Genomic DNA, 15,272 nt, shown 5'->3' on the forward strand with positions numbered 1-15,272 from the left:
AGGGCAACAAATTCCATATGTGAGTTTTGTCTTGAGGCAAATAAGTGAGTCCCTTTATCTTACAATTCTTTTAAATTTCTGGGGATGTTTAGAATTATAGCGTTTGTTGAGTCAACAATTTATCATTAACCTAAACTTATTCTTTATGTCACATGACAAAATATGTTAATAAAAAATTAGAAACAATATTTTATCTTCAGTTAGTACTTTGTTTTCAGCTCAACAGTTTTGTTTATTTAGCTAATGGATTCTGTTTTCATTCTCAAATTCCTTGTATATTAAAAGGTTGTTAAGAGAACTACCAGCTTTGGAAACAAAATTTGAATATAAGCATAGACCAGATATGGTGGCTGACACCTATAATCCCAGCACTTTGAGAATCTGAAACGGGAGGACCATTGAGCCCAGGAGTTTGAGACCAGCCTGAGCAACAAACGTAGTGAGACTCCCATATCTACAAAAAAATTTAAAAAAAATGAGCTGTGCGTGGTGACGTGTGCCTGTAGTTCTAGCTACTTGGGAGGCTGAGATGGGAGGATCACTTGAGTCTGGGAGGTTGAGGCTGCAGTGAGCCATGATTACACCAGTGCATGCTAGCCTGGGGCACAAAGTGAGACCCTGTCTCAAAAAAAAAGATAAATGCAACCACAATCCAGCATTTAAAAAACAAAACAAAATCCTGACACTTTTACTGTGTGAATGAAGAGTGGAATCTTCATTAATAAAACTGAAACAATTTGTTAGGAAAAAAAACTTGTCAACTGTAAAACAAGTTAATAATGTAATTATTAAATTTAAGCTAACTTTCTACTGGCTATATTATTTGTAAGACTATTAGCCAGACATCTCTGTAGAATGATGTGAAAATTATAATATTAATAATTACAAATGTAATAGTAATTTTCAGGTAGATGAACATTAGCTTCTTTTTAAGCCTGATGAGTGAGTAAATCTCTTTTTTGCTCTTTGAAAAATTTTACACTATTCAATCTTTTCTGCCTAATTTGACCCTAATTTTGATCTCATATTGTAATAGTGTGGAAATATTAGCTCATATTTTAGTTAAGATTGAGCTCTATACTTGAAAGAGAATTATTTTTGAACTAGGAATTTAATTGAACCTTGATATTAAGCTCACTCCAAGTATGCAGTTTATCTGGCTTTCTATAGATATATTCCTGTAAATTTTTATACCTTGATATTAATGGGGACTTCAGTCAGCTGGCATAATAGAAACAACATAAATTTTGGAGGCATATTGATCTGGGTTTTAATCCCAGACCCTATCTCATTTTAGTTGTGTGACTTTAGTGATATTCTTCCTCTGGATCCATTTGCTCATGTGTAAAATGGTGCTAACAATCTTGGTCATGCAGGGTTTTTGATGATCATTAAAGATAATATATGTATCGGGAGAATGGCGTGAACCCGGGAGGCAGAGCTTGTAGTGAGCCGAGATCGCGCCACTGCACTCCAGCTTGGGCAACAGAGTGAGACTCCATCTAAAAAAATAAAAAAATAAAAAAAAGATAATATATGTATCAAAATAGCAGAGGATGGAAAAAATATACCATGCACCCAATAAAAAAAAACTGGAGTGGATATACTGATGATAGACAAAATAGACTTTAGAATAAAAATGTTACTAGAGATAAAGAGGGACATCTCATGTTGTTAAAAGGGTCAATCCACCAGAACGATCTAACATTTATAAACATGTGTACACCTAACAACAGACCTCCAAACTATTTGAAGCAAAACCTGACATAATTGAAGGGAGAAATAGACAACAATAATATTTCGGGGCTTCAGTACCCCACTTGCAGTAATGGGTAGAACAATGAGGAAGAATATCACCAAATAAATAGAAGACTCAACAGTACTGTAAACAAATTAGACCTTACAGATATCTATAGAACACCACACCCATTAGCAAAAGAAGATACATTCTTCTCAAGTGTACGTGAAATATTCTTGTGGATAGATCATATGCTAGGCCATGAAACAAGCCTCAATAAATTTAAAAGGATTGAAATCATACAAAGTGTCTTCTCTGACCATAATGAAATTAAATTAGAAATTAATAACAGAAGGCAACAGAGGAAACATTCACAAATATGTGAAAATTAGATAACACACTCCTAAATAACCAGCAAGTCTAAAAGAAATCACAAAGGAATTAGAAAACACTTTGAGATGAGTGAAATAAAAAGACAACATACCAAACTTTGTGGGATGCAGCTAACACTATGCTTAAGAGGGAAACTTACAACCATAGTCATCTATATTCAAAAAAAATACTGGGGCATGGTGGTCCATGCCTGTAGTTCCTAGCTACTTGGAAGGCTGAGGTGGGAGAAGTTTTTGAGTCCAAGAGTTTGAGGTCAGCCTGGGCAACACAGCGAGACCCCGTCTCTTAAAAAAAAAAAATCCTCAAATCAATAACCTAACATTTCACGGTAAGAAAAGAGAAAAAGAAGAGCAAACTAAACCCAAAACAAGTGGAAGAAAATAAACAGTAAAGACTAACAAGGAAATAAAAGAAATAGAGAATTTTAAAAAATAGAGGAAATCAGTGAAACCAAAAGTTGATTCTTTGAAGAGATAACTCAATTGATAACTTTAGCTACACTCATCAAAAAAGGAGAAGAGATTCAAATTACTGAAATCATGAACGAAAGGGGGATATAACTACTGACCACGCAGAAATAGAAATAATTGTAAGAGAATACTCTGAAAAACTATATGCCAACAAATTAGATAATTTAAAATGGACAACTTTCTAGAAAGACACAAATTACCAAAACTGGTTAAGAAGAAATATAAAATCCGTTGGGCGCAGTGGCTCGTGCCTGTAATCCTAACACTTGGGAGGCCAAGGTGGGCAGATCATGAGGTTAGGAGTTCACGACCAGCCTGGCCAACGTAGCGAAACCCCGTCTGTACTGAAAATACAAAAATTAGCTGGGCAAGGTGGCGCATGCCTGTAGTCCCAGCTACTTGGGAGGCTGAGGCAGGAGAATCGCTTGAACCTGGGAGGCGGAGGTTGTGGTGAGCTGAGATGGCGCCATTGCACTCCAGCCTGGGCAACAGAGCAAGACTCCATCTCAAAAAAAAAAAAAAAAAAAAAGAAAGAAAGAAATAGAAAATCAATGCAATAGCAGGATGTCTTAGAATATCAAAATACAAAATAAATCAAAAGAGATTGAATTAGTAATCAAAAAAACTCCCACAAAGAAAAGCCCAGGCCTAGATAGGTTCACTGGTAAATTTATTTAAATGTTTAAGAACAATTACCACCAATTCTTCATAAATTCTTTCAAAAATAGAAGAGGAGATAACACTTCCCATATCATTCTGTGAAATCAGTATTATTACCTTGATACAAAAACCAAATATACTGAAAGAAAAGAAAACTACAGACTAGCCTCCCTTTTGAATGTAGATGCTAAAATTCTCAAAACTATACTAGCAAGCTGAATCCAGCAAGATATAAAAAAGATATTACACCATGATCAAGTGGGATTTATCTCAGGAATGTAATACTAGTTTAACACCTGAAAATCAGCTAATGTAATAAATGATGGAAGCCTAATGATTATCTCAATAGACACAGAAAAACATTTGATAAAATGCAGCATCCTTTTATGATAAAAATGCTCAACAAACTAAGAATACAAGGAAGCTTCCTCCTCAACCTCAAGAAGAGCATCTATAGAAAACCTACATCTGACATTACATTTAATGGTAAAAGACTGAATACTTTCACCATAAGATTAGGAATAATACAAGGATGTACACTCTCACCATGTCTGTTCAACATTTTACTGGAGGTTCTAGCCAGTGGTATTAGGCAAGAAAAAGAAATAAAAGGCATCAGTTTTGGAAAGGTAGAAGTAAATTATCTATTTGCAGTTGACATAATCCTGTATATATTAGAAAATCCTAAGGAATCCACACATGCAGAGAAAATTATTAGAGCTAATAAAGTAGTTTAGCAGAGTTGTAGGATACAATACAATATCCATTTAGGAAAGCAGTTGTATTTCTGTAACTAGCAATGAGCATTCCAAAAATAAAATTAAGGAAACAATTCTATTGACAATAAAATAATAAAGAATATAATACTTAGGAATAATTTGACAAAAGAAGCATAAAACTTGTCTGCTGAAAACTGCAATTTATCATGGAAAGAAATTAAACAAGGTCGAAATAAATGGAAAAATATCTCATGTTCATGTAATAGTTAATACTGATGTTAGTACTCCCCAGATTGATGGTTTAATGCAATCTCCATCAAAATCTCAGTTGACTTTTTGGAAGACAGCTATGCTTACCACTGTACCACCAATGAACTTTTAGTTGTCTTTTTGCAGAAATTGACAAGCAGATCCTAAAACACATATGGAAATATAAGGAGGCCCAGCACAGTGGCTCATGCCTGTAATCCTAGCACTTTGGGAAGCCGAGGCGGGCAGATCACTTGAGGTCTGGAGTTCGAGACCAGCCTGGCCAACATGGTGAAACCCCGTCTCTACTAAAAATATAAAAATTTGCCAGGTGTGATGGCGCGTATCTGTAGTTCCAGCTATTCAGGAGGCTGAGGCATGAGAATCACTTGAATCCAGGAGCCAGAGGTTGCAGTGAGCCAAGATCACACTACTGCACTCTAGCCTGGGTGACAGAGTAAGACTCAGTCTCAAAAGAAATATAAGGGACTATGAATAGCCAAAATAATCTTGAGAAAGAACCATAAAGTTGGAGTAGTAACACGTTCCAATTTTAAAGCTAACTACAAAGCTACAGTAGTCAAGATAGTATGGTACTAGCATAATGATTTACATGTATATCAATGGACCAGAATTGAGAATCTAGAAAAAAATCCTTCATGATTATGTTTAGTTGATTTTCAAAAAGGGTGTTAAGTCAATTCAGTGGGGGAAAGAATAATATTTTTCAACAAATGGTGCTGAGAGAACTGGCTATCCACATCCAAACACCAAAGAATGAATTTACCTCAGCCTGGGCGACAGAGGGAAACTCCATCTCAAAACAACAAAAACAAAAAGAAATGAGAATGGTGATTCTTTAGGCCTGGGGATAGTGGTGGGAGAATGGGGAGTGAGAGCCAGTGGGTGTGGCACATCTTTTAGTAGGGACAACACTGTTCTAAATCTAGATTGTGGATATGCTTGTACAACCTCGTGAAAATACTAAAAACATTAAACACTTTAATTGGGTGAGCTGTATGTTATGTCAATTATGTCTCAGTCAAGTTTAAAAAAAATATAAAGTTACCACAATTAAGAGTTTGGTACTGACAAAATAATGAAGAAAGCAATGAAACAGTAAGGAGTTCAAAAATGGCTATCAGTATGTATGAGAATTTAGTATATGATAATGTTTGTATGCCAAATCAATGTTTAGAGATAGATTATCTCACAAATAGTTTTTAGACAACTTGTTATGTTATAATGATAAGTAATATGACTAAAATTTACTAAACAAATTTTAGATTGATCAAAGAGCCATAAAAGAAGAAAATGAAAAAGCACTGGAAGAAAAATGGAATTGTTTTGTCATCTTGGAGTAAAAGGAAAATATGACATAAAAATCAGAAGTCCTAAAGCATACTATTGATTTGCACACTTGATCACTTGAAAAATATAATTTTGTTTTAAGAATATATTATAGTCAGATGGCAAATAGAAATGAGAAAAAATGATTTGCAACATGTAACAAAAAGAGATTGCTTTTATAATTTATGGAGCGCTTTTATAAACCACTAAGGAAGAAATGAATGATATAATATAAAAATGGGCACATGATATGAACAGGCAATGCACAGAAAAAAATACAGATGGCTAGTGAACATGAAAGGATGCTAATCTTAATTAAAATGAAGTAAATGCACATTAAATAAGTTGATAATGCCTACTATTGGATAGATATTGGCAAATGGATGCTCATACCGTTCATGGTAGTGTACATTGGTATAACTGATTAGAGAGTAATTTGTTAACAATTGTCTGAAAACAGTGTGTTTCCTTTTGCCTCATTAAATCTATTTCTAGGAATTTATTGAGTAGATATACTTAACGTACATGCAAAATATAAAAAGAACATATGTAAGAATGTATATTGTAGTGTCGTCACTAATAGCAAAAAAAACTGCCAGAAACCTAAAAAATATTAACAGTAGGGGGGACTGGTTAAGTTAATTTATGGTACATCTGACCAATGGAGTACTATACAGCTAAAAAAGTTTCTGACGTGGAGAGATGTGAAACATACTATGAGTGGAAAAGAAAGTAATATAATAGTATGTATTTTATGATCCTATTTGAATTAAAAAATTATAGATAGATATTTCCTATAATTATAAAACACATTGTGAATAAAACTTACCTGTGAGAATTGAATTACCTTTTATTTTTCTCTATTTGTTTTTTTTTACTCTGAGCATAATATACTCAAAGAATTTAATAGAATATTTAAATATTTAATGATTAAAAATACCTGTAAATATATGTTTTTTATATATATATATATATATATATATGTACACATAAACTTGGTGCTTTATAAATACTGTGTTTTTTAAGGTAGACTTTGATTGCCATTAGCAAGAATATATTTTATTTAGACTTATTTATGTTGTATTGTATTTACCTTATTTTATTTTTGAGGCAAGGTCTTGCTCTGTCGCCCAGGCCGGAGTGCAGTGGCACAATGATGCTCACTGCAGCTTTGACTTTTCGGACTCAAGCAATCTTCCCACCTCAACCTGCTGAGTAACTGGGACCTACAGGCATGTGCCACCATGGCTGTCTGGTTTTTCATTTTTTTGTAGAGATGGGATCTCACTATGTTGCCCAGGCTCACCTTGAACTCCTGGGCTTGATCCTCTTGCCTTGGCCTCCCAAAGTGCTGGGATTACAAGAGTGAGCCATTGCACCCAGCCTTTCACTGACCTGTGAGTCTGTGCTTTGCTAATTTCCAGAAGTCTCTATCTGGACTTCTTGAGTATTTTATAACACAGCAACAACTTGCATGTATATCTGCTATGGAAAAGTGATTTTTTGGTCAGGTGTGGTGGCTCACGCCTGTAATCTCAACGCTTTGGGAGACCAAGGTGGGTGGATCACTTGAGGCCAGGAGTTCGAGACCAGCTTGGCCAATATGGTGAAACCCTGTCTCTACCAAAAACACAAAAATTAGCTGGGCATGGGCACACACCTGTAGTCTCAGCTCTCAGGAGGCTGAGGCATGAGAATCACTTGAACCCAGGTGGTGGAGGTTGCACTGAGCCGAGATTGTTCTACAACCTGGATGATGGAGCAAGACTCTGTCTCTTCAAAAAAAAAAAAGACAAGTCATTTTTTGTTTGTTGGCTTATTTACTTTTTACTCTTTTTTAAAAATCTAACTTTTTGATGATAGAAAAAGGTTCTACAATGAAAAATGAAATCTCTCTCTTAATCATCCAGATTCTCTTCTCAGAGACAACCATCATTACTACTTTTTTTTTTTTTTTGAGACAGAGTCTCACTCTTTTTCCCAGGCTGGAGTGCAGTGGCGCGATGTCGGCTCACTGCAAGCTCCGCCCCCTGGGTTCACGCCATTCTCCTGCCTCAGCCTCCCAAGTAGCTGGGACTACAGGCGCCCGCCACCATGCCCAGCTAATTTTTTGTATATTTAGTAGAGACGGGGTTTCACTGTGTTAGCCCGTATGATGTGGATCTCCTGACCTCGTGATCCACGCGCCTCGGCCTCCCAAAGTGCTGGGATTACAGGCGTGAGCCACAGCTCCCGGCCATAGTTACTCCTTTTAAAAATGATTCTAGGCCGGGCATGGTGGCTCACCCCTGTAATCCCAGCACTTTGGGAGGCCGAGACGGGTGGATCACTTGAGGTCAGGAGTTCAAGACCAGCCTGGTCAACATGGTGAAACCCCTTCTCTACTAGAAATACAAAAATTAGTCGGGTGTGGTCGTGGGCACCTGTACTCCCAGCTACTTGGGAAGCTGAGGCAGGAGAATCGCTTGAACCTGGGAGGCGGAGGTTGCAATGAGCTGAGATCATGCCACTGCACTCCCGCCTGGATGACAGAGCGAGACTCTGTCTCAAAACAAAACAAAACAAAACACCAAAAAAACAGATGCTGTGTAGAAATTCTCTCTGCGTTTACAAATAGGTACACACAGACACACATGCACACACACACTTCACACATATGGCAGTATATTAAACATACTGTCAACCCACTTCCCTTTTTGTTTTTAGCTGAACAAGATAACTTAGATATGTTTTCATTGATGAAGGGCATCCTCCTAAAGTCTGTGTGGATGAATCCTAATTGATTTTTCTGTTGATAACATGCTATAATTAACTAAACTACTTAACACTTATTTTAGAAACTAGGTGTTGCCTAGGGGAAACACTGGGGATACACTGGTGAGGACAAAAAAAAAAAACAGACATTTACTCCCTTCATGGAGCTTAAATTCTATGAGATGGGCACATTAATAAAAGACCAACTCAAATAAAAGTGAATCATAATTGTGATAAGTGCTGAGATGAATGTGATAGAGAGTTGATATAGTCAGGGAGGTAAAGAACAGTTTTTCTGGGGAAGTGATAGTTGAGCTGACATGTAAACAAACATCAATTAATTTTACATATTTTAAGGATGTAAGTTTGTCTTATAATATCTATTCTTCCATTTTTTCTGTATCTATAAACATACCTTTAACATCAATCTTTAAATGTGCTTAAGTTTCTCATATATTAAATAAAAACAAAACTCTTCTCTGACCCTTCCCTCCTTTCCAACTACTGCCCTTTATCTCACCTTCCTTCTTACCAAGAGAGTTGTCTAAACTTCCTGTTTCTATTTACTCATCTCTCACTCAAGAAAAAAAATTCAGGCTTACTCCTTCTTTAACCTATTCCAGTCTGTGTTATAATTATTATAACACAGTGAAACATCTCACCAAGGTCACCAATGACTTCCAAACCCAGGAGACACTTTTTAGTCTCCATTTTGCTTCAATTGGCATGATTGACAACTCTCTTACTGAACTTCTTGAAATGTTCCCACATCTTGTATCCCCTTCTGTTTTTCTTCTTCTTTTTTTAGTTTTGTTTGCTGACTTCTTTTCTAACTATTAAATTGCTGGAGTTCCATAAGACTTGTCCTAGGCTCTTTTCATTTCCCATCAAACACTTTAAGGCAAGTTTCAGACAGTATCTGTAGATGATTCCCAAACCTATACCTGACCCTGCTTCTAAGATTTACACCAATTATATTCAGCCACCTCCCATATTTTTCTACTTTATTTGTCATTTGTTCATTCACATATATTTATTTGGGACCTGTTATTTGACAGGCATTGTGCTGGTGTAGAGTGTCTTAGGTATCTCTAGTGGAATATGATTAAAATAGAATTCATGATTGATACCTCCTGCCAAAAAGAAGCAAGCAAGTAAACAAACAAAAATAGCCAAAACGAGACCCTCTCTACCATCATTATTCTGATTCAACTACTGAAATCCACCCAGTTCATCTAACTTAAATCTTGGGATCAGTCTCAACTCTTCTTTTTCTGCGTACTTCCCTTATCCTCATCCAATCCAATCCAGTTCAATCCAGTCCAATCAGTGTGGTCTAACCCAATGCAGTTTTACTAAAGTCTGGCCATTCTACCATCTTAGTCTCTGTCCAGTGCTTCCATTCCCTACCCCTTCTTCCCCTTTCACTGTCAATACCCTAGACCAAAGTACTGTCACTTGACTGCTGCAGTAACTTCAAATTGGTCTTAACTGTCTTCACTTTTGACTGCCATCTGGCAACTTGCCATATGACTGTAGTCATGATTTTTTAAGTGTTCCATAATTCCTCTGTCTCAGTTTTCTTGTCTCTAAAATTGGGATAATAATAGCCTTTCCATCATAGGGTTATTGTGAGGATAAAATGAATTACTATATATAAAACACTTAGAATAGTGCCAGGCACTAACTCCTCAGTAAATTGTTAATAAGACCTTGTACAGTGTTACATTAAGCCAAGTAAAAGGTATGATTAAGAGAGAAAGATGGTTTATTAATAATATATTTGAATGGAATCATTATCTTGTTTATACTTGTGTTATATATGTTCACACTAAAAATATGCAGCTCTTATAATACGTGACCTTATGTGTAATTTTTTTCTTAATTAAAAGGCTAAGAAGCACCAGGCCTTCCTAGTAGAGACATGTGAAAATAACGTGAAAGAATTGGAATCGATCTTGGACAGCTTTACTGTGTCGGGCCAGTGGACATCAGGTTAGTTGAAGGTATAAAATGACAGATGCATCTGTCAATGTTCCAAAGTCACTACATTTTGGGAATTCTGCAGATGCCTCTTGTAGTCCCTCATCTCAACATGTTTTGATTTGATGACATGATAAGAGCAGTTCTCACAGCAGTCAGTTGGCCTAGCTGGCTGAGAAAGGGTGACGGAATATGGACCTGCTGTTGTCCTCCCAGAACTTGATTTACAAGTGTTGGGGTGTGTGTGATTGGACAGACAAGGGCTCACTTGCTGTGTTCTGAATCCAACTGAGAAAAAAGTCCTTACAGTATACCTGCAAGGGGAACAGATGTTTCGATCAAACTGAGCCAAATTCTGAGGCAACCTTCAGCAACTTAAAGGTCATGCATTTAAAAGGTTATGTAGGACACAGGCTGTAGCATAGCGCATGTTCTATACTTTCCAAGCCGGTTTTCTAAGCTGGTTTTCATTTCCTACTACCATATACATATACTGTCCAGATAAGAATGCTTAGGTAGAATATTTTAGTTGTAGTTATTAGCCCACTTCATATGATAAAGAGCTATAAAATTATATATTAATTAGGTAGACATATTTTGAGAACTAGCAAAAGCAATGGCTGGCTAATGAATTCTGTTCACTATTTCTACTTTCTTAGTGTTTTGTGTTTATGTTATTATGTGTGCTATAGTAGCTTTGACATAAATACTTTTCTACCTCAGTTTTCTTTTGCCCTGCTTTCAGCCCTGAATTATTTGGTGGTCTTCTAACACAATTCTATTCTTCAAAAGGCACATAAAATTAAATTTCTCACTCTTAAAAATTGAGAAATTTAAGAAAACATTTTTAAAAGGAATCTAACAGCAATTTGGCAAATAAGTTCTTTAGAGAGCTCTTAAGTTCAGGAAGTTTTTGTCCTTGAAAACTTGGAAGGACCTCATCAAGGTTCATATTTTGCCTTGTGGATCTGTAGATTTCTCAGTTGGTAAGCTATTAGAAATGTAGTGTGCTTTGCTATTGTCTATGTTTTAAGTCTCTGTGTTTTTAGCTTTTATGAAATTAATGTGTAACTATCTTTGTTTTTATGTAAACTTTTCCCAAAAGCATTACTGTATCATAATCATAATTTGTTATCATGGACAAATCAAAAGATATAAAAGTGTCATAAAAGTAGGTGCAGGTATCCAGTTTCAATTATATTTGTTACAGCTTTGGAGGAGAAAATTTTCCTTTGCACTGGTACTTTTTTATTATTGAGATGTATCAGTGGTGTTTAATGGTGTTAGGATCTTTAAAAATTGTTAAATATTGTCGCAGTATAGCATATGCCTCAATATTATTTTAAATATTTCTTCAGAGTTGAATTAGAAAAGCTAAGAATAATGTGGTCATGTCTCGTTTGAGTTTTAAAGTAAAATAGTTGGTAACAAAGCAACTCAGAAGTTATTACTAAGCCTACAGAATTTTCTATTAAAATTTTAATTTTTATTCTTTTATTAACCATCCTTTTTTATCTTTATCTTCCTAATTTTCTGTATAGATGCATACTTTGTGTATTCCAGGGAATGTGTTCCTGCGAAAGGACTGTGCACTGAATTAGTGATTTTTGGATTGTTACAGAGTGGTAACATGTTTCCATTTTGTGCTGATTTTTCTCTCCTTTACACCCTTCTCCCCTTGCTGATCCATTCTCCTCTGTTCTGTTTTGCTGTGTGCCTTGGGAGGCTGCCTTCTGTGGATCTGGGCTCCTTTACCTTCTGGCTTCTGGTTAGGTTTGGACAGTAGGTGCACCCACAGGAGATTAAGGGAATGACAGAATAAAGCAGTCGAAGTGTTTATTTCCTCTGCTTCCTCTGCTCCACTGCATTTTTGGCAGTGGCTTCATTTTTCAGCAGCCACAGTGCCTGTTGGGTGGGCCCTCTTTCATGGCTGTGGCTCTTGTTAGACTATGGTGACATTCTCTCCACTTGACCTTTTAAGCTAAGACATAATATTAGTTTTCTACTCTTGCTTGCTTTTGGTGCCTCATCATACCTTTTGGGATCTGTTAACCTGTACACATTTCTGTAGTCTCGTCATTAAACTATCTTGCTGATGACCTCTTCTGAGTATTTAATTTACATCCTGATTGATTTACATAACTCCTTGGGATCTGGTTTCATTCCTCCTATTGGCTTGCATAAAACAGCTCTGTGCCTTTATAATGGACTCTGTTTCTGCTCAGATTGGGTTTTTGTTACATAAGCAAAAAAGTGAGTCACGAGTTTTTCGGCTTCCCAGTATGTTTGAATGTTATGTTTATACTATAGTGTAGTCCATTAAGTTGTGAGAGCATTATGTCAAAAAATCCACATACCTTAATTAAAAAATACATTATTGCCAAAAAATGCTGATGATCATCTGAGCCTTCAGTGAGTCATAACCTTTTTGCTGGTGGAGAGTCTTGCCTTGATGTTGATGGCTGCTGACTCATCAGGGTGGTGGTGGCTGAAGGTTGGGTTAGCTGTGGCAATTTCTTTTTTGTTACCTAAAAAATGGATACAGAATAATTTTACATACTTTCATACACATTTATGGGGTGCATGTGATATTTTGATACATGCATGAAATATGTGTAATCATCAAATCAGGGTATTTAAGATACCAGTCACCTTGAACATTTAGCATTTCTTTCTATTGGGAACATTTCAAATCTTCTGGCTATTTTGAAATATAAAACGTATTGTTGTTAACTGTAGAGTTCAATACTGTGCTATTGAACTCTAGAACTTATTTCTTCTAACTATATGTTTATACCCATTAATCTACCTCTCTTCAATACCATCCTCCACACTGCCACTAGTAACCACCATTCTACTCTCTACCTCTGTGAGATCTGCTTTTTTAGCTCTCATGTGTGAGTAAGAACATAAGGGCCAGGCGCGGTGGCTCACGCCTGTAATCCCAGCACTTTGGGAGGCCGAGGGGGGTGGATCACGAGGTCAGGAGATTGAGACCATCCTGGCTAACACGGTGAAACACCGTCTCTACTAAAAATACAAAAAATTAGCCAGGCGTGGTGGCGGGTGCCTGTAGTCCCAGCTACTCGGGAGGCTGAGGCAGGAGAATGGCATGAACCTGGGAGGCGGAGCTTGCAGTGAGCTGAGATCGTGCCACTGCACTCCAGCCTGGGCAACAGAGCAAGACCCCGTCTCAAAAAAAAAAAAAAAAAAAGGAACATAGGATATTTGTCTTTCAGTGCCTGGCTTATTTAACTTAACATAATGACCTCCAGTTTTATTTACGTTGCTACAAATGACAGGGTTTCATTCTTTTTTATGGCTGGATAGTATTCCATTATGTGTCTGTATGTGCGTGTATATGTATGTATATACACACACACATCATATACTCTTTCTTTTATTTTTTTAGAGACAGTGTGTTGCTGTGTTGCTCAGGATAGCCTAGAATTCCTGGGCTCAAACAATCCTCCTGCCTCAGCCTCCTAAATAGCTAGGACTTTAGGTATGGTAGCATCTGGCTTATACCACATTTTCTTTATCCATTTATCCATTGCTAGACACTTAGGTTGATTCTATATCTTGGTTATTGTGAATAATACTCTAGTTTATATGACAGTGCAGGTATCCCTTTGATATACTGATTTTCTTTCCTTTGGATAAATATCTGTAGTGGGATTGCTGGATCATATTGTGTCCGGAATTGGTGGTTACTTGGTCTCACTGACTTCAAGAATGAAGCCGTGGACCCTTGCGGTGAGCGTTAACAGTTCTTGAAGGCAGCGTGTCCAGAGTTTGTTCCTTCTGGTGTTCAGATGTGTTCGGAGTTTCTTCCTTCTGGTGGGTTCTTGGTCTCGCTGGTTCAGGAGTGAAGCTGCGGACCCTCGTGGTGAGTGTTACAGGTCTTAAGGTGGCGCGTCTGGAGTTGTTCGTTCCTCCCGGTGGGCTCGTGGGCTCGCTGGCTCAGGAGTGAAGCTGCAGACCTTCGCGGTGAGTGTTACAGCTCATAAAAGCAGTGTGGACCCAAAGAGTGAGCAGTAGCAAGATTTATTGCAAAGAGTGAAAGAACAAAGCTTCCACAGTGTGGAAGGGGACCCGAGCGGGTTGCCACTGCTGGCTTGGGCAGCCTCTTTTTATTCTCTTATCCGGCCCCACCCACGTCCTGCTGATTGGTAGAGCCAAGTGGTCTGTTTTGACAGGGCACTGATTGGTGCGTTTACTATCCCTGAGCTAGACACAAAGGTTCTCCACGTCCCCACCAGATTAGTTAGGTACAGAGTGTCGACACAAAGGTTCTCCAAGGCCCCACCAGAGTAGCTAGATACAGAGTGTCGATTGGTGAATTCACAAACACTGAGCTAGACACGGGGTACTGATTGGTGTGTTTACAAACCTTGAGCTAGATACAGAGTGCCGATTGGTGTATTTACAATCCCTGAGCTAGACATAAAGGTTCTCCAAGGTCCCACCAGAGTAGCCAGATACAGAGTGACGATTGGTGCATTTACAAACCCTGAGCTAGACACAGGGTGCTGATTGGTGTGTTTACACACCTTGAGCTAGATACAGAGTGCCGATTGGTGTATTTATATTCCCTGAGCTAGACATAAAGATTCTCCACGTCCCCACCAGACTCAGGAGCCCAACTGGCTTCACCCAGTGGATCCCGCACCCGGGCTGCAGGTGGAGCTGCCTGCCAGTCCCGTGCCGTGTGACCGCACTCCTCAGCCCTTGGGTGGTCGATGGGACTGGGTGCCGTGGAGCAGGGGGCAGTGCTCATCAGGGAGGCTCCGGTGCACAGGAGCCCATGGAGGGGGTGGGAGGCAGGCATGGCGGGCTGCAGGTGCTGAGCCCTGCCCCACGGGAAGGCAGCTAAGGCCCGGTGAGAAATCGAGCACAGCGCCGGTGGGCTGGCACTGCTGGGGGACCCCGTACACCCTCTGCAGCCGCTGGCCC

The 15,272-nt window shown here is 38.1% G+C and overlaps 1 protein-coding gene across 35 annotated transcripts in view; it reads left to right on the forward strand.

Annotated features, from left to right (window-relative positions):
- Window positions 1-15,272, forward strand: part of CCDC171 (coiled-coil domain containing 171) — a 556,042-nt gene that overhangs the window by 132,125 nt on the left and 408,645 nt on the right. For all 35 annotated transcript variants that reach the window (XR_007061261.1, XR_001746227.3, XR_001746228.3 and 32 more), the window contains one exon: window positions 10,226-10,328. Coding sequence is in view for 30 of the 35 variants with exons in the window: in XM_047422930.1 (XP_047278886.1) it covers window positions 10,226-10,328 (103 nt within the window). In the remaining 5 variants the exon portion in view is untranslated. The remainder of the gene's footprint in view (window positions 1-10,225; window positions 10,329-15,272) is intronic.

The sequence above is a fragment of the Homo sapiens genome, chromosome 9 (assembly GCF_000001405.40).
Source record: "Homo sapiens chromosome 9, GRCh38.p14 Primary Assembly".
Lineage (NCBI taxonomy): Eukaryota > Metazoa > Chordata > Mammalia > Primates > Hominidae > Homo > Homo sapiens.